Source organism: Homo sapiens, chromosome 2 (genome assembly GCF_000001405.40).
Source record: "Homo sapiens chromosome 2, GRCh38.p14 Primary Assembly".
Taxonomy (NCBI): Eukaryota; Metazoa; Chordata; class Mammalia; order Primates; family Hominidae; genus Homo; species Homo sapiens.
In genome coordinates this window covers 69,033,935-69,055,069 of record NC_000002.12, presented here as the reverse complement: position 1 = coordinate 69,055,069, position 21,135 = coordinate 69,033,935, and the positions used below count along the sequence as shown (strand labels likewise).

At 39.1% G+C, this 21,135-nt stretch overlaps 1 protein-coding gene across 6 annotated transcripts in view; it reads right to left on the bottom strand.

Annotated features, from left to right (window-relative positions):
• The window catches only part of ANTXR1 (ANTXR cell adhesion molecule 1), a 236,184-nt gene that overhangs the window by 194,258 nt on the left and 20,791 nt on the right, over positions 1-21,135 (bottom strand). For all 6 annotated transcript variants that reach the window (NM_053034.2, NM_018153.3, XM_017005077.3 and 3 more), the window contains exons 2-3: positions 14,955-15,026; positions 10,257-10,328 (exon numbers count right to left, since the gene is read on the bottom strand). In NM_053034.2, coding sequence (NP_444262.1) covers positions 10,257-10,328; positions 14,955-15,026 — 144 coding nt within the window. The remainder of the gene's footprint in view (positions 1-10,256; positions 10,329-14,954; positions 15,027-21,135) is intronic.

The following is a 21,135-nucleotide window of genomic DNA, read 5'->3' as shown; positions in this document are numbered from 1 at the left end:
TGCCTGCATTGTTAACCCTTCCAACAGTTCTGTGAAGTGGGGTCATCATTGCATTCACTTTATAGATAAGAAAACTGAGGCACAGAGAGGCAAGACACTTGCCTATGGACTCAGACCACATAATATCTCCCAATCAACAGGACAAGAGAATAAACAAATGCCCCACTCCCTCACCATTTGTCTTAATTTCACCATCAAGCCCTCACACAACTAAAAGAACAGTACCTCAAAATGAAATGAATCCAAGTTCTTTCAAGCACTAAATATCTTAAGACTCTTTCTCCTTGTTGCTTTTAAATTTAGAAAAGGCCTTTAGAACTATGTCTCTTGGTAATGGCAGCCTGTAATCATTCAGCTCCAGGAATCAAGTGATGTCTTCAGAGTATGTCATTTTCCCCTGTGACACTAATAGCAAAACCACACTTTCAACCAAACCAAAGGATGACTGAGAAGGAGAGAGACATGTGGTCTCTTGGTTTTCACTCAGCAGTTGGAGCCAAGTGTTCTTGGCTTCCATTCTACCTCCTTAAGCAATAAGCAAGATACTTAACCTCGTACCCCCATCTGTGAAATGCTGATGCTACCTCTTTACCTCTTTGTGAGGAGTATTTCCAAGTTCCGGTTTCCAAAAGCCCATGAAGATGAAATGTATAGCGGGCATAGGCTGCCTCGGGGAACTGTTTTCTTAAAGATGTCAGAGGGTTTGGGTGGTGAATTATGTATGCTTAGATTTGTTTTAAATTTAAAACTGTACGTAATAGTAAAATCATGGGAAATCCTACAGTATAGTAATTAAGAATATGAACACTGGGATAGCGCTTCTTGAGTTCAAATTCAGGTTCCTACACTTTCACATGACAGTGGCCATGAGCTTTCTCCACCTCGATAATCCCCATCTTTGATAATACATATAATAAATGTAATTCTCAAAACTACCAAATTAGGGGGATACTACTATTTCCTCTGATTATAGATGAGGAAAGTATACTAGGCTACAGGTATATAATAAGCCCTTAATAAAAGATTATATTTAGATATAAACACATACGCATATATATGTACATATGCATATATATGTACATACACATATTGGTGGCTTCCATTTGACTATTACACAGATAAGAAACAAAATAATACATGCAGAGGCAGTATGTACTGGGTAGCTTTGTAATGTAATAGAAAAATCACTGAGTTAAAACTTTTTAATTTTGTGAGTTAAAAAGATGGTGTTGCCAGTGAGTATATGAATGAATTTGAGCAAAGAATTCTGTCTCTCTGGGAATCATTTTCCTCAGCAGTAAAATGAGGTCAGTGGGTTGGATAAGATATAATAATTCTTTGACTCATAGTTGTTCTGTTATGCTTTGTTTTTCAATCTTGCAAAGTTTGGAAGAAAGGTGAAATTTCCAGTCAAAGATAATGATCTTGGTCTGCATATTTTAACTTTTGCTTCTTTTTCCAAATTACTGTAGAAATAGCTAACTGATATAATAGAGAAAATGTTTCTTCACTGCTGAAAAATAGGCAAGGATGCCAGAAACTTTGAATTTCTGCATGATGTGGAGCTGCTGAGGTCAGAGTAAGGGAAGGACCCACCACCCCGGGATCCTAGAGCACAAGAAGAAAAGCATGAGGGATGGCGGGGAAGTGAAGGAAACTAGTTCTTAACACAATAATCCAGCATCTACACCTGACCATCTTCCTTTAGCTTCATCTTCCTCTTTGCCTTGGAAAGACTGCTGGGTCTCTACTCTGCCTAAGATAAAATTATGCTACATATAAATGTTTTCATTTTCCTTAGCCTGAGCTCTTAACATTTTCAACAAGGATCTTGCATGATCTGCTGCAGAACTTTTCCCAAATCCCAGTACTGAAAAGCCCATGTGGTTCCATTTTTAAGTCACTATACTCAGAAAAAGTCTCAGCAGTTGGGAAGAAGAGGACCAATTTTAGGAATTTGAGAAAATATCCCCCTTTGAAATAAAGTCATATAAAAAACAAGGGAGCACATATAACCAATTCTAATTTATATTTATGTTGAAGACATTCTAGTGTATATTTATGTTGAAGACATACCTTCAACAGCAAGGTCATACACATGTGGAAAAATTTAGGAACAGGAAAGTATTCATAGGGATGAAAGATATTGTCAATTGAAAAATGCAATGGAAGCAGTGAAAAGTAAGCTGGGTGACTGTGAAAACAGAAGCAAAAACAAAATAAACAACTTAGACTGGTAATTACAGGATCTGAATGAAACATTCTCTCAGATGTCAAAAAAATAATAGAAAGATTAAAAAATTATACTTAGAATATAAAGAGATATTGGATAGATTCAAGAATCGAATGGACAGAAGAAATGTTAATCACAAAAGGCATAAAAGAGAAATGTTTTAAGCTGAAAAAGTGTATTAAGTCTTCAGATAGAATGGCTCAAGTACTACACAAAGTACTTTACAAAATTAATGAAGGGACTACACCTGGAAATATTCTGTTGATATTTAAAAAAATATGTATGATAAAGAGAAAAGTTCTATAAGCAGCCAGGAAGAGAAAACAGGCTACCCACATAGAAGAGATATATTAAATTGGCATCTCTCCTTTCTAATAATGCAAGTTGACTATGTCTTTAGAAAATGTAAGGGGAAAGATAGTTAAGATGGAAGAGCTTTATATTCAATGGAAATATTTACCTGGAGGTGAATACAAAAAAATTCTCATATAAATGGTGACTTATAAGTCTTAATAGTCACATATTCTTCAGGAAAATCTTACCTAAAAAAAAGACTTAGCAAACTGAGGAATTAAAAATATATAATTAAAACTTAAGTACTGGAAAGGAAGTATGTGTGTGAATGTGTGCGTGTATTCATATATATTCAATGAAATCCGTAAATCTTACAGTAAGTTTAGATAATTATTGTTGATATGTTTCTAAAATACAATGCAAATATTTCTTAAAAAGAAATTCAGCAAGAAGAATCAGTAGATATTTATTCAATTCTTGTCACTATCGAGGCAAGCAAAATTAACTTGCAACTGTTACTAGGATGCAAATGAAATTATACTTTTCAAATCATTGAAAAATTACACAAAATATCAACGAAAGTAAAAAATAAATGAATGAAAAAGATATATCAGGAAGTGCAAACAAAATTCAAGTTTAATAATACTAATCTTGGACAAAGGATATAAAGCCAAAAGCACTAAAGGTGACAAAAAGATTATTTTATATTGATTAGATGCACACTCCATAATGAAAATACACATAAGCCAAGTAAGATGATGTAAATTAAAAAGCAATGTGTTGGAAATTAAAATAAAACAGTCATGGTGGAAAATGCAAAATGTCTATCTTCATAGATCAAGTAAACAAAAATATAAAATATTTAAAAATTAATGTTTCTTATAACAAAATTTTAATCATCAAAGTGTACATATTTTCTAACATCCATGGATACTAAATAAAATTTGATCATGTAGTAGTCCACCAACAAAAATTAATAAACTAAAAAATAGAAATTATATAAATTGAATTTTTAAAAACTTCCATGACTCTAGAAATTGAGGAAAGGGTAAACAAAAATGTGAAAATTGTGAAACACTTTTCCTAAATCATCTTAAATCAAAAATAGTAAATATAGCTATTAAAAAATTAACAATAATAAGAACAGGACATGTCAAAATGTATAAAATTCAACAACCATATCAGATTTAAAGTACAATTTATACTGTTAAAGCTTTTATTATTTAGAAAGAAATAAAGTATAGTGAATAATCTTTTTTTTTTTTGAGACAGAGTCTTGCTCTGTTGCTCAGGCTACAGTGCAGTGGTGCGATCTCAGCTCACTGCAACCTCCGCCTCCCAGGTTCAAGAAATTCTCGCCTCCCAAGTAGGTGGGATTACAGGTGCGCACCAACATGCCCAGCTAACTTTTATATTTTTACTGGAGATGGGGTTTCACCATGTTGGCCAGGCTGGTCTCAAAATCCTGGCCTCAAGTGATCAGCCTGCCTCAGCCTCCCAAAGTCCTGGGATTATAGGTGTGAGTCACCACACCGGGCAATTATCTTTTATTTCGAGAAACCAGAAAAACTTGCAATATAAGAAGCAGAAGGAAGGAACTAATAATAGTAATAAGATAAAATAATGAATCATAAAATCTAACAATATATAAAACAGAACTGATGAATACATTTAAGAAACAAACCATTAGGTAATCTGAATGGGGCAAATAAGAGAAAAGAAAATAGCTTTATACAATTGGAGGAAAGGGATATAACCAAAGATACAGAAGAGCTTTTGAAAATTAAAAAGATACGTGATAAATTTAAAATGTCAACATATTGGTAATTTCTACTGTTTCTCAAGTTAGAAAACACGATAAAAGCAATAACACAAAAAGCTGAGGTAACTGTCAAAGAGCTTCTTCAATAATAATTTAGGCTTTGATAGTTTTCCTCTGAGTTATATCAAACTTTGAACAAACGTTTGCTCTCTTTATTAGTTAAGCAATTCTGCAGCTTACAGCAAGATTGCCTACTCATTTTTCCAAGCTCATGTAATCCGTTTACTCCCAAACTGACAGAGATTGTATGAAATAAAGCCCCAGAATACTCTCAATATTAAATATTGATAAGTAATATCTTTCAGCTTAAATCAAACCAGAAACACAATAAAAACATAGCAAACCATGATAAAGTTTATTGTAGGAATGTAAGGTTAGTTTTTCATTAGAAAATCTTTTATTTATTTATTTATTTATTTATTTTTGATACAGCACACTCTGTTGCCCAGGCTGGAGTGTATTGGCATGATTACGGCTCACTGCAGCCTTTACCTCCCATGCCTCAATCGATCCTGTCACCTCATTCTCCTGAGTAGCTGGGACCACAGGGGTGTGACAACATGCTTGGCTAATTTTTAATTTTATTTTTTGTAGAGATGGGGTCTCCCTATGTTGCTCAGGCTGGCCTTGAACTCCTGGGCTCAAGCGATCCTCTCACCTCAGCTTCCCAAAGTGCTGAGATTACAGGTGTGAGCCATTGTGCCAGGCCCATTAGGAGAGCTTTTGATTTAAAATTTTTACAGACAGGTCAAAGGAAATAGAAGAAAGATATAACTATTTTGATATGGCAAAAGGGTATTTAATATAACAACTATTTCAGATAAAAAGTTTTAATAATCTCGCATTTGAAGAATCCTTCCTTAACAAAGTAGATAAAATGTATGAAGTTAGCATCCAATAAAATGCATAATTGTAAAACCCAATTGGGAATTAAAGTCTGAAAATTTTAGAATGTAAGAAGATACACAGGAAGATATACTAGCTATAAATATTAGAAAAGAAGACAGAATTAATCACAGATACTACAATCACCTTATTGGAAAACCACTTAAAAATTAACTGGAAAACTATTAGAACTAATAAAATGTTTCATTAAAGTGGTGGGATAAGAAGGCAGATGTGGTGGCTCACACCTGTAATCCCAGCACTTTGGAAGGCCGAGGTGGGTGGATTATTTGAGGTCAGGAGTTAGAGACCAGCCTGACCAACATGGTGAAACCCCGTCTCTACTAAAATGCAAAAATTAGCCTGGCATGGCGGTGTGCACCTGTAATCCCAGCTACTAGGGAGGCTGAGGCAGGAGAATCGCTTGAACTTGGGAGATGGAGGTTGCAGTGAGCTGAGTTCGCACCACTGCACTCCAACCTGGGTGACAGAGCAAGACTCCCTCTTAAAAAAATAAAAATAATAAAAATAAAAGAAATCAACAAAAAACCTGTTAGAAACCTATTGTTTTCCCCAAAACTAATGTTTCTGAAGCTCTTTTTTTGGCAGGGGATGGGGATGGGGGCTGCATGCATGGTCTTTTCTACAGAAAACCCACTGACATGCACGTTTTTGTAAATCATTTTATGGAGTTCAGTAGAAGCCCATGGATCACAAACTATAGGTTCACCAGTCAAGAGTGAAGAATGACAGTTTGGAGAATACAACAGCAAAGCATTTCTTTCACAATGGAGGCAACTTAAAATGCCTGGGAAAAAAATGTTGACAATTAGACTAATTTGAAGAAAAAAACAAAATCGTACTGAGGGACGTAAACGAGACATGGTATATCCCTAAATAAGAAAATAAGTATAGAGAAAATGCAGCGCCATTGCTGCTGAGTTAATCTGTATTTTTCACACAGTTCGAGTGAAAATCCCAGGGATATCTGGGAACATAAAAAATTATTTAAAATGTATGTGGTTGGAAAAATCCAGTAAAGACCAAGGAGATTTTCACCCAAGATTAGAAATGAGGATAGATTGGTCCTCCAGATGTTAAAACTAATTAAAACAATGTGATCCAACTATAGAAACAGACAGAAAAACAGAACAGAATAGAAAATCCAGTAATGAACCCAAGCCTAGCAAAGAGTTTAACTGTTCAAGTTGTTGGTAAAAGATTATTACACAGTGGTGTGGGAAGAACTGGCTAATCAATCGGGGAAAGAAACACTGGATGTTGACCTTGTACCTTATATCATAATAAATTCTAGAAGAAGTACTAATTTAAATAAAAAAGAATCAAAAGTACTGTAAAGAAAGGTAGTAATAAAAAGGACAATGGCAGCCCAATTACAGTTATAAATAGGGGTGCTAAATTTCTGAATAATATTAAAAATACAGAATTCAGATATACATTAAAAGAATATATCATAACCAAATGTATACAGAAATACTAGAATGATCCAATATTTAAAAATGTTTTTTATGACATTCAGTGTACTAGTAGGTAAAGGAAAAATATCACCATCTTAACAAAAGGCAAAATTGCATTTGATTAAATTGAGCATCTATTTTTTTTTAAATGAATAGTTGAACTTCCTTCACGTGGTCTTATTTCTTATTTCTAAATGATGACACATTTGAAGTATTTCAATTAATGTAAGAACAAGACTCTCCTTGGAGTATCCAGGGACTCATATGCAGTAGTTAACATCATTTTATTCTAACAGTACTTAAATTGACATTGTATACTCTATTATACTAAGGAAGTGACCTGCAAACTTTGTTACAATCTATCAACTATTTAAACTGATGAAGCCAGGAAATCTTGGAAGAGCAACATGATACAGTACAAAGTACAGGAGTTGGACCAAATTTAGAATCCAGAATCAGAATACTAATTTGGCAGATTACTAGCTATCTGACCTCGGCAGGTTACCTAAACTTTTTGAACCTCAGTGTCCTTATCTGTAAAATTGAAGTAGCAGCAGCCAAGATAGAGTATGCTTGCTACTGCCTATATCACCTGCTGATTACAACAGAAAAAGCAACCAAGTAGACTGGAAGGTAAACAAAACTGGTGGACTGGGGAGGAAAATTTAAACCTAGAGAAATGACCCACACTACCATGAGGTCCAGAATTTCCCCCCCCAACTCAAGTAGCTGCAAACTCCCCAAATATGGTGACAGACAAGTTTATAGATTCAAGAAGCTCTGCAAAGTCAAAATAGGGTACCCTGAAGGAAAACCATGCCCACACAAATAATCAAACTGCTAAGAACTAAAAAAGAAGAAACTGTGAAAACAGAGAAAAACGACACATTCCATATATAACAATGATTCAAATGACCGCATAGTTCCTTCCCATTAGAAAATAGAGTAACAATGGTTATATGAGGATAAATAAAAAAGGATAAAGTGCTTGCAGATAAAAGACACAAATCGTAGGCATTATTATTCTAATTGGAGTTTCTTTACTATATCTTAACACATTATATTTATTTTCCATTCTATTTTTTCATCTTCTCATAGCTTTACCCTACGTGTATTTGATCCCAAGAACTGAATGCGAATACAGTCATTCCTTGGTATAGGCAGAGGATTGGTTCATGATCCCTGAGTATACCAAATCCATGCACTCAAGTCCTGCAGACAGCCCTGCAGAACCTGCATATACTAGAAGTCAGCCCTCCATATATGTGGATTTTGCATCCTGCGAATACTGTATTTTTGATCTGCATTTGGTTGAAAAATACCTGTGTATAATTGGACCCATTCAGTTCAAAATGTTGTTCAAGGATCAGCCGTATATCTTTGATATTATTTCTTTTGATTTACCCAAAACTTTTGCTGAAATGAAAGTCTTTGCCAATTCATGTCTTGCTTTTGAACAAGTTTTTCTTAATTCTATAAGGTCTCTCAAGTATTATACAGGTATCTTAATGGACCCTTTACTGTTTTATAGGGATATTGTGACAATCAAGTGAGATAGAAAAATACAAATTCCTGTGCCCAACTAAAACACTGCAAGTCATATATTTCAGAAGCAGTACTAGCTTGGAAGATCTGAAAGCCTGATTCTTTTAGCCAGTCTCCTGAGAAAGAGTTTCAGAGAGATCTTGCCCACATTTCTTCCATAGGCTGATGAGGTTGGGGGTGTGTCCATAAACCATGCTGTGCTTTCCCAGCTGACCTAGGCCAAGCAGTCACCACATGAAATCCACACAGCCTTCAGCAAGGCATTTTTGGCTGTTGTTTGATGCACATTTGACCCATACAAAATGCTGCTTCCAGCAAACCAGGGACTCTACCCTCTGTTTTCTCTTCAGAACAGGAAACTAGCAGTAGTGACGTTAAGGTACACAAAAATTAGATTCCCAGTAGATTCAGAGGATGACTAATTCCAACAAGCATAACAAACCACAATGGGTCTGGAAGACTTGGCATTCTGATAGTGTTTATAAATCCCTGACCCCTCTGACCCTGTCAACTTCCCAGAAGCTGTGAGCATTAGCACACAAAGCACCTGCAAGTGATGTGTGAACCTGGTCTCTTGGCCAAACTCTTATGCATGGGGCATGGACAGCATGAAGCTGCACTAGGAAGCCTCGGGTTGTAGGAGGATGTGAAGAACAGGCGAGAGGGGTGTTTAGCTCCCCATCGCAGAACAAAAAACATCTCTGCATAAGGGGTGGCATCATCTAAAGACTGAGCAAGATGAGGAGTCTTGAGATGGCCAGAGACACCTTCTCAGAGCTTCTTAAAATCCTTGGCCAGTATTGAAGGCAAGTCACACAAGTGTCTTGGATTTTATGATTCTCTGTTGAACAGAAGGCAGCAAGGTAAACTGGAAAGAATGTGGAGCCTGGGTCTGGTCTGGGTTCTGTTTGCTATTCTTGGGAAGGTGACATGGCCTCAGTTTCTCCTTCTGTTAATAAGGGATCAGAAACTCCTGTTTTTTTGAATGAAATGCATGCATATAGTAGATCAGGTTGAAGGAGTAACAGGATTTGAAAACTCCTACATGGTACAGAGCACTCTTTCTGTTACAAATCCTAACAAAGTCATGGGAAAAAAAATAGGGACTAGCTCAAGTTTGCTGACTTCAGCTAGAAAATTTTACTCTGTCCTGTTAGTCCTATATTCATTTCTATAAGAACGTTAGAGAATAAAGTCTTCCTGCCCCCCCTGTACTGGCCCTTCCTCCTTTTCTTTTTCCAACACATCCATATATGAGTCTCCCAATAATCCCACATGTGTTCCCCATGGTGCTTCTCTCATGTGGGCCATCTCACTATTTAAAAAGTGTACAATTTCATAAATGGGGGAAGACTATCCTCTCCACTCTCTAGTATACCATCCTAACTATGAATAAATGACATGACTCTGTTATTGCTAGTTTTCATCTGCAAGTAAAATGTGGCAAATCCTAAAATACTTTTGTTAAGCTAGATCTACCTAGTTTAACTTCTTTGTATCAACAACATTCTTTTACACTATTTAAATTTCCTTTTATTTTGTGGTACCATAAGCCCTCCCTTTCTACTCCCTTCCTGGGTAATTATGAACAGTAAATATTTCAAGCTCTTACCTGTCTCACAGTGCACTTGTATCTGAAACCTTAATCCAAAATAAGTCTAACTTAAGTAAAAGAAAATATAGTCCCCCAATAATATGGTTTGCCAACATTTCGCTCCAAGTTAGCAGATGGAATCAACAATCAAATGTGAGATTTATCTTAATGTAATTTCATCATTTATAAAATTTCACCAATATCAGGAAATTCTATCAAAAGTAACTGAAGAGTGAACTAGCAGCAGGACCCATGTGCCCATACGTAAGGTTAAAAACTTAGGGTAAAAGAAGGAACTATTAGATTAAAGTGATCAACAGGTCAAGGCTGGCACCAGAGCACAAATCTCAGGGCTACTCAGGAAGTGATGGACTTTTTAACAACAGAGATAAGAAGTATCCTTACCTGTCTTCTGTCAGTTTCATTAAGGTTGTTCCTCGGGTGGAGAAAACAATAAAGGACATTCTCAACTGTGGGCTGGAAAGGAAAAGAAGCTCTATTAGGACAGACAATAAGACTGCGCATGCCACTCCCTTCAGGCTCCCTCCCTGTCCTTCCCTTTCTATCACGGCTGCCAGAACTGAAGACCCATAACCCACAGGGGGCCTCCTAGGCTGGTGCTGCGGGTGTTGATTAGCCAGCAGTGGACTTGAAGTGTGGGTCAAAGAGAAGACACACTGGATCTTCCTGAGGCTGCTTCTGACCTGATATCATTGCTTAGTGAGTGTGGATTACGAGTAAGAATGATAAACTTCATTGTTGCCCTGTGTTCTGTTTGAAGTGTGTCCCAACAAGGGGACCAATCTGTATGGTGTCTATAAAAGGGGATCCCGATAGGTAAAATTTGATAATGTTTCCACGGTAGCCTGGTGTATTCTCTAATGATGAGTTGCAGCTTGATGCCATCAGCTATTAACATTATATAACAAACTCCCTTTGATCTGAAAGTGGGATCACCATCAACTTTTAATTTCTCCTTGGCTTCCCAAGGAGATTATCCTATAAGGAGAGAATGTGCTGACTGGTCATAAGAATATCTATTCCACTTGGTAGTCATACTTCTCATTATTAATGAATAAATTGGCATGGTTTTTATATGGCAGTGCTCAGGAGCATTCTCAATGTAAGAGTCACACTCTGGAGACAGAAGCACTCTCACCTGAGGACGAACTTGTTTCTCAGTCTGCAAGATGGACCATCAGACTGCAGTGGATTCAGCAATGCAATGCCGTTCTGTGTGTCCAACTTGTTCTTCCGTCATAGCATCAATCTATTTCTTCACAATGCAATAACCTCCCACACCTGATCGGGCTCTGAACCTTGTAGTTCCAGTTCCCCAAGTGTTTCTCAAACCTGCCTCACTTCCCGTATCTTAGCTTAGGATCCTGGCCTCAATCGTCTGACCACTACAATTTCCTAGCTGGCGTCTTGCCTAGGAAGGTTCTTTGCTCCAATTCACTCTTCACACTGCTCCCAGAATTATTTTCCTAAAACAAAAATTAGAACCTGTCACTTATCTGCTATAAAATTTCCAATGACTCCTACTGTCTCCAGGATAAAGTCTGCATTTATTACCACATGGTAATAAATGCCTGATGCATCTTTGGAAGCCCTTGGCATGGTGTTTAATATTTGATAGGAGCTCAGGCAATACCTGGTGAATTGAATATTGGTCCCTAAAACAGATCTCAGTTTTCTGTCCATGACCCCGTGCTGCCTGGGACTACTTCCCCAGCACTGGGGCAGCAGGACACCATGTCCTAAATGATAATAACAACAATCATAATGATTATAATAATATAATAATGGCCAACCTTACTGAGTTCTTACCATGTGTGAGATCATAGTGATTTGCACGTATGATCTCATTATACTTGAACAACTGTATGAGACTGGTACCTATAGTACCAATCCTGATAGTTCATATCAAACTAACAGTTCCTATTTTCCACAAAAGGAAATTGAGGCCCTGAAAGATGAAACAATTTCCTTGAGGTTACACAGTGGGGGAGTGGCAGACCTGGGGCTTGAAGTCAAGTGTTTTAATTCTAGAACTTGGGCTCCTAACTGCCACATTATATACTGCTCCCCTTCTGTCAAGTTCAGCTCTGGAAATAATAAATTTGAAATGTGGAAAATAAAGGTCTCCAAGAGGCAACTGGCATATAAGTCTAGGCTAGAGGCATAATTTGGAAGTCCTCAGCGTACTGATGTGGGCAAAGTTGTTCAGAGAGAGTGTCAGCAGTGAGGAGGGAAGTGAGCCAAATACAAAACCAACACTAGTATGGGAAGGGCTGGCTGAGGCCAGTGAGATGGAAGCAGAATGAGAGCCAGTGGAGGAAAGAGTTTCAAGGAAGGATAAGTCTGGATCCAATGAAACCCCTGCATCCAGTGGACTAAAGGCTGCAGAGTGCTCCTGGATTTTTCCTCTGGGTCATCCCTGGGTGAGACCTTGGCGAGCAAGCAGGTGAAGGGTGGGGAGGAGGGCCAGACAGCAGTGGGTTAAGGAATGAATGAGAAGTAAGGATATGGAGATGGCCAGTCTTTAAAGACAAATGAGTGAGAAACTAGTAGAGAAATAGGGTCCCATCTATAGGAAGACAAGATCAAGAGTTTCACTGTCATTGCTTTTTTTGGGACAAGGGGCAGGAGAGATTAGTTTGTGTTTGTAGACTGTGGGGAAGGAGCCAGGGGAAAGGTAGAGAAAAATACAAGACAGAAACAAAGACCTGGAGGAAACTGGAGACAATGGGATAAAGTCAGACTAAAATGGAGAGGTTGGCCTTACATGGGAGGGATACTTGGATCTCAGAGACTAGTGGGAAGGACACATATGCATCTTTTAGGAGTAGATTGGAACTTGAACTCGTGTCTACTACTCTCTGGATTCTTGGTGAAGTAGGAGGTGAGGTTATTTGCTGACAGCAATGGGTGTGAGGTGTAGGTTGAAGGCTTGAGGAAAACAGCAAAGCATAAGAATCATTATTAGAAAAATGATAGAAGGTCAGAATAAAGATAAATAAAAGGACTCAAAATGTCAAAAATCCCACTGAGATTAGAAATGATGTACTTGTACTGGCATCAGCCACTGTTATTGAATGAATTTCCCCCCTGTAGTCCCAGCTGCCTTAGACTTTTTATTAAAATGAATAAATAAATGAAAATTGCCCATTCATTCACTTATTTAAAAATACTGACTGAGCATGTACTATGTGTCTGGCACTGTTATGGGCACTTGGGCTGTGACTGTCAACAGACGACAGCCCAGCCTCTGCCTGGTGGAGTTTGGGTGATGGTAAGATCTTGGCTCCACACTTTGAGGGGCTCCATGGCCAAGCAGGGTTAGCGGAGACAACCAGAGAAGGGTGCCTTGTCTGGATTAAGCCATGTCAACCTCCCTGGTCCTTGGTTTCTTCATCTATAAAGCAAGGGAATTGGATTAAGGGTTCTCTTAATCCCCTCCCTTGCCCCTGCCCACAATTTTCTAAGATTCTAAGATAGTGAAGAGTCTGGGATTGCTGAGGGAACTGAGAAAGATGTTGTGTGCCCACTCTAAGCCAGGTGCTGGACTGGTGGGCTTGCACATGTTTTCTCTTATAAGCCTCATATATAAACTAGGGTTCAGCCAAGGTTGGTGAATTGCTACGGTTGCACAACGGAACTTAGATTCAAACTCACATCTGCCTGACTTCAAAGCCTATCCCACTAGACTCCTCCACTTCAGAGAGAACAGAAGCCCAGAAGAGCAAATGAGACACAGAGCAGTTACTGTGAAGGGTGTGGAGGCAGACTTGTTTTATATCACTCCAAAGGACCAATGGCTGCGAGTGAAGAAAGGACATCTTGGCCTAATGACAAAAAGACTTATGAAAACTGGAATTGTCCAACTATTGGACTTTTGCCTCAAAGGCAGTGAGTTTTCACCAGAGCTATTCAAGTAGAGAGTTACACAATGCCTCCTAGGATAGGCTGGGAAGTCTCGTTCCTTTTAATTCCTAGTTTCTATGATCCTTTCAAACATTTTCTAACACCACCCATGTATTTGTTTCTCTCCTTTTCCTGTACTTTTTCTCCCTTCTGTCCTCTCAGCATCTGTTTTTCCTAATCATCTGGGTTTAGATGCTTCCTGCTGTAGCTTCCAATTTTTGGCATAACAGACAAGCTACCTCCTAACCCTTTCCCTCCAATTAGGCAGGTAGGCATGCGTTGAGGTCAATAACCAAATTTGAGGGGAACATGTCTGTCACTACCCAGGGCTTAGAGGATAACCTGTATTCTGAGACAGAGAACCTTACTCAAAGAAGAACTTTATGGTCACTCCTATCAACCGGAAGACTCTATGGAGGCCATCAGCATGAAGTGGAGCTGTGTTAGAACTTACGATGATCAGACCAATTTTACCAAAGACTTTGACAACTTGCTTCAAGCACTCTATGAAAGCTATTACTGTTGTGTTATCCCTTGGAGGCTGCACACAGTGGGGTGAAGTGACCTCATTTCCTTACCACTAAGTCCAAGACTCCCATGATATTTGCAGTGACTATGTTCAAAACTGCATTGCCTTGCCTGGGAAAGTGGTGTTGAAAATGCTCAGAGGATTCTACCTGATAATAGTACACACAGCTAGAGAGCGACCAATTGTCACATTTTGCTCAGGACTAAGGAGGGTTCCCCTTAGGATGTGAGACTTTCAGTGCTAAAACTGGGAAAGATCTGGGCAAACTGGGATGAATTGTTCATCCTACACACTGTACACCCTACACGTGAGTCCAGCTAAAATGTGCCAATTGCTGCTGCATGATGCAGTGTGCAAGAAAAATGTTAAAGGTAATAAGAATAGGCTATTCAACAGAGAAGGGAGAATGCTAAATATTTTTGGTCTCGTAACCAGATTTGGCTCCTCCCAAAAACATAAAGCCAAATGTTATTCTAAAATGTGGCAAAGATGAAAACAAAGCAAACAGTCTCTGGTCCGAGATCTGAGAGCCCAACTTAGTCAAAAAACATCCCCAAAGTATGTAGTAATTAATAGAATAGCAAACATGGACTAGTTTGACTCATGACAGAGAACTACAAGTGAACAAAATGCATAGTGTTTCTCACCTGATGAATTTGTGAGCCAACTGTTCCACAAAGTAATAGATTTCATTCCAGTGGTGCAGCACACTTCCTGATCTAGGAAAACAAAAGCAGGTGTTGCGTGACTCAGGTGTTTACTTGTCTTTACCTTGTATTATTTATCTTCACATTCTGTTATTTTACATTTGACCTCTCCAATAACTGGACTCATTACTTGAAACTTCTGTAACTTTGGAAATTATTTGAAAGGCTGTTTCAACTTTCTGTTAGGGTTCTTTAAGATGTTGTAAAAGAACTCCCCCAATCTCGCACTGCCCCCACCCCAAATCCACACACCCAAACCCTGAAAAACAACAACAGCAACAACAAACGCTGGGCCCAAAGAGATTCACAAATGAGTTTTGCGTCTTCGAGAAACAGCTATTTTTGTGCTATTAAATTATTTCTCTGATTAGGGAAGAAAAACTGTTCTAATCCATTTAAATGAAATTAGCACACACGATAAACACATCCCCTCCCCAAAGAGTCCAACTTCATTTGTAAATATAGATGCAAAATCTGTAAATCATATTAATGAAATGAACACAGCAGGAATCCAAAAGAATAATAATTAATTAATTGGTGAAGTTTATTTCAGGAAGGTAGTGATAGTTGAACACTTAAGGAAATCTAATTTAGTCGTATTAATAAACAAAAGAAGAAAAACGACACAGCTTTTTGTTATACGAAAAAGGAATCCTCTTAGTGACAAAAGAAGGAAACTGTTTCCCTAGGACATACGGAATCATGAGATTTTAGATTTGGAAAGGGGCTTCTTTATTTCCCAAGTTTGACTTCTGTTTCACTGGTACCATTTCCTACTGCTTCAGTCAGCTTATATTTTCCATAGTGCTCATATTCAGTTTGTTGCAATGGCTCCGATTAGTTTTTTCTATTCGAACCCACTCTTTTTAGTAGCTGTGATGCCTCCTCCCTTTCACCTAAGGATCAATTTCAGGCAAGCTCTGCATTTCTGCTTGCCATTCTAATAACTGTTGAGGTTAGAGTTTGCTCTTTCTACTCTGACATTGTGTATTGCAAACATTTTCCACTGATTTCTGATTATTTTTATTTATTATGCACTCGTTTACAATTTTAACATCCAGAGAGCTATTTGTTGCTGTTTTTCCTTTGTTTCAAACTATTTTATAGAGATTTAAGAGGACTTTTTGCTTTCCTTTTAATGGAATGATAGTCAGAAGAATTCTCATTCTGATCGGGTGTATTCCATTTCCAGGAGGGCAATTTATTTTTCTTTGTCCCATATCCAGAAATGATATATCTGTCTGACCTGAAAAAGTGGTACAATATGCTCTGGTCATACCATTAGATACTCTGTGTCATAAGGATGTCTCACTTTCCTCAAATTCACATTCAATTCTAGAGAATGTACATAGGCATCTTTTACAGTGATAGTCATTGTTCCACTGTTAGAGAAAAAAATTATAAATCCACCAGTACACAATTTCTATGAATATATTCACATACACATTCTTATTTCTTTAAAAAAATGGGAAAATAAGTTAACATTTGCTCATTTTATGTGGAGAACACATGGGTGTTCATTATATTATCCTTTGTTCTTTTTTGAACAACACAGATTGTCTAGAATCTTATAATAGGCACTGTAAAAAGGGTCAAAAGCAATGATTCAATCCTGGATTCTTCTCCTCATACAGGAGATATTCATTATAATTATGTTTTTGTGTGCTCATCTTGAACCCCACTTTGGCTAATTTGAGATGATATTTGGCATAACCAGAGGCAGGAAGATTATACTGGGGATTTAATATTTCTTATTAACTATTAAAAATAACATCACCCAGCACTACTCTAGCTGCCTAAGGTGCAGAGATGGCTAAGAAATGGTGCTTTCCCCTCAAGAACTCAGAGATGAGTGAGGAAGACAGAAGAATTAATATGTAACCTGTCATGAAAAGTGCTGTAGTTGAGGACTGTGCATTTGGAAAAAAGAAAAGGGGAATGGCTCTCTGTGCTGGTGCAGGCTGTGAAGGGGGGTGGTTTTTAATCCCATTCTTGAAGGACAGGTAGAAACTTGTGAGGAAGACAAGGGGAGAAGGATCATCCTTGGTGTAAAACATGGAAGTTGGGGAAGAGCAAGTGGTTTCATGGTGCAGCACCATGCAGCCTGTAGAGGGGAGGTGAGGAGCTGGGGAGATGGGGAAGGGATCTGGAAGGAGCGTGCCAGGGTCCCCTCCTGTCAAAAGCACCCCTTTGTCTATTCTGCTTACTCAGCCTTTATACATACTGCATCTGCTTGGGATACTCATTGTCCGCAGTGGCAAGCAACTCTTCATTCAAGACTCAGGTCAGTGGACGCAGTGGCTCATGCCTGTAATCCCAGCACTTTGGGAGGCCAAGGCAGGTGGATCACCTGAGGTCAGGAGTTCCAGACCAGCCTGGCTAACATGGCGAAACCCCGTCTCTACTAAAAATACAAAAATTAGCCGGGCATGGTGGCGTATGCCTGTAATCCCAGCTACTCAGGAGGCTGAGGCAGGACAATCACTTGAACCCGGGAGGCTGAGGTTGCAGTGAGCTGAGATTGCACCCTTGCACTCCAGCCTAGGCAACAAGAGGGAAACTCCATCTCAAAAAACAAAAAAACAAGCAAACTCAGGTTGGTCTCTCCGTGTTGCTTTTAACCAACACAGACAGGACTCACTACCTTATGCATAAGGCCCTGCCTTATGCTCTCAGGGCCACCGTGTCCACCTCTCTGTCAGCATCCCCTGATACTGGGTGGCAATCGGTCTTAAAGAAATTTCCCTCCCAAGCATTACCTGTTTATTGAATGAAAGAAAGAAGAGCATGAAGAGGAAAAGCCTCTATTGCTCATGGAAGCTTCCTGATCTTTTGCCAACTGAACCTCAACTATTCTGCCTTGGCTTGGATAAACAGCCTGGGTTTGGGACTCAGATGGCTCTCGCCAATTCCCGTGACTTACGTGAAGTAAGAAGCCTTCCCAGATGGGTCACTGATTCTAGGGCATAGCTGCTTGGTGACTGGGCCCACATGATCATCAGGAGATCTCTGAACAGAATGGCATCTGGAGTCTCCCACGAGCTCACCAGAACTGCATATCCTAGCCCTGGGCTTAAAGCTTTAGAAATCTTCTTTCATAAAGACCTGGCCATCCTCCTGGACAGGGTTCACTTGTATACTTCAGGTCACATAGACTGGTCCAGGGTGCCATCCTTCAGCCATAGGGTGGATGCTCTGGCCCTGGGGGTCCTGGGTGGTGATCTGGCAGAGATGGCCCAATGCTCTCCAGGTGCCTCAGAAGATATGCCACATGACTGCCTATAAGCCATTGCCAATCCAGAATTCTACAACCCCTTTCCACTAGAATCAAGAGATTTCCTTAAAGACTGGCCATTAGTGGCCACTTCTGAAATGCAATGCTGTGTTTTGGTCCATACAACCAGAAAAATTAATCTTTGAAATTCTGGTTACTGAGGGGGTAGGGTGAGATATCTAATGATTAGAGAGGAATCTCCAAACCTCCTTTATCCCATGTCCAATTTCCTCATCGGTAGAGAATTTCTGCCGGGAGGAATTTATACTGGGAAGATGGTTAATGGGTACAAAAAAAATTAGAAAGAATGAGTAAGACCGAGTATTTGATAGCACAAGAGGGTGGCTATAGTCAATAATAATAAATAATAATTTAATTGTACATTTAAGTGTAACTTAAAAAGTATAATTGGATTGTTTGTTACACAAAGGATAAATGCTTGAGGGGATAAATACCCAATTTTACATGATGTGCTTATTTCACATTGCATGCCTGTATCAAAACATCTCATGTACCCTGTAAATATATACATCCACTATGTACCCATAGAAATAAAAGAATAAAATCAGGAAATTATACTAGGAGGAGAAGCAATGTGTTGGTGAAATAGGAACTTGAATTAGAATTGGGAAACTATTATTGACTCCCTGTTTAAGGAGCAAGAGTTTGAAGTAAATCCTTTTTGTGTTAATATTTCCTCATTCTCAAGGAGTGGCCCTATTTCACAGCCACAAATTAATTTGCATTCCTTTACTTATTGAAAAGTGTCACCCAATGATAATTCATACTTCCAGCTTTCTTAAAACATGTCATTTTCACTATACTTCTATCTGACTGATGTAAAGTTTATACCATTTTGATGTTCACCTGATTTGTTGATGCCAGATATAGGGAAAGATCCAAAATATATCCTTGGGTGTTGACAAAAGTCTACATCCATCAAAACTCTTGCTAATGGGCAAAAGCTGAATTTTCTGAAGAAGAAAATAAAATGAGAGCTTTAAAACAAAACTGGAGGCAAAAAGGCAATGACAGGCTTGCTCCTCTGCTAACAGCTGCCCTGTCGCTGCTGGGGTTTGTCACTTCATGTATGTAAGTGATCATTCTTTACACAATTATTTAAGCCTTGACCAAAATATACACCCTTTGAGCCACGCTGGAGATGTACATAGCCTGCCTCCTCAATCATCAAAGGTAAAACCACAAACTTCTAAGATTCTAGGAACCAAACTGGGTTTGTCTTCTCTGGGTTACCCTGGGATTCCAAGGGGCCTCAGCTGCTAAAGGAAAAAGAGAGTAAAGGGGTATCTCGATCTGCACCTTGGACTCCTTCTACTCTTTATTTCCGAAACTTCTTAACCCACACATGCAGGCATTGTCCTAGCGCAAGATCAAACCACCTCTTGGAGAAAGAAAGAGCCCTGTGTCCGCTGCTTATGGTTTCAGCATGGCAGCAAACTTGTTGGGGGTACTGCTTATATTTCTTTAACCCAAAGCCCCAGTGGCAGGAGGCTTACCTGTCTGATGCCACAGTCCTCTCCCCTGCCTCACCACCACCCACCAATCCCAGCTGACTTCCTATCCATGACCACTGGGACCTCAACCAGACCCCCACCCCGCCCCCCGCTGCCTTCTTGCATAGGGATGAATTTGCTGGGTCTATGACTCAGTTTAGACTTTCTGTTGAAACACGTATGTCTCACCTGCACTTGGCCTTGTAACTGATCTTCTGGTGTGGAAACTGCCCTAGTAGCTACTGCCAGAATAACTGACTCAGGGTAGTTCAGACCCTGGGCTTCCTCTCAATCCTGAAGACCTAAGTGGACTCCTGGTCACAACCAGGTAGGTGTTGGCTGGGGGAAATGGCAGAAAGTGGATCCAATTCCAGTTTCTTTCCACCCTACAATGTATAGAACATGCCATTTATCATGTCAGTCTCTTTATAAGTCAATGACCTTAAACTCTGGCTATGGAGTCCTGATACCATCTTCAGATAGTATGGCCCACCCACTCATTATCACCAAAGCTGCAGGTGGAAATTAAAACCTTCTAAGCCCAAATATAAATAGTACTAGAAAGTGTTCCATTGGACTCTGTTGTAGATTTTTTTTCCAGAACTGCCTTTAACACGTAACTGCTGGGCAAGCTGTAGTCACAGAGAGTTGCAGTGCCACGTTCTAGAAATCAGTGGATGTAAAAGGTCCCTAATTTCGACTCCATTAAATCCTAACTCAAATGCAGTTCTAGCCCCTGAAGGCTATTATAGGTCAACTTGGTCTCAGAATGGCACAGAGGGTCCAGACCTCTTCTTGGGATTTTGTGCCTGTGTTTCACTGCACAAATCTCAGCAGAATTTGGAATTCAAGTAGCCTCCCAGGAATTCTGCTTGAAGATAGTCTTACAGAGTTCTGTGCTTGAAGATTCTTTCAATACTCTTGGGTCCACTCAAAACCAGAGTCAATGTCCTCCCACACTACCATCTGACTTGGCCTTGGAGAAGGGCTCACTAGACCATGGGGAGGGAAAGCCACCAGTCTTCACTACTAGACCCAGAAGGTTGTTGCTGAAAGCAGTTCCAGAGTGTCTTTCTTATTTTTGTTTTACTATGCTCTCTCTTGTGTTTGGAACATGATAAGAAGTCAAGAAATTTTTGTGACATTGCACTCACTGTGTGTTCCCAGTGCAGGGTTCTGCATGGAACCTGACACTGCCCTCTGATTATTGTTTAATTACTTCCAAGGGTCTAATATGCAAAGAGTAGAAGCAAAATAAGAGCTCCAAATCTCATTCTGACTTGTTTTCTGAAGTGCATTCTTTTCTGTTTATGTGAGTTTCCAAACCTCCCTG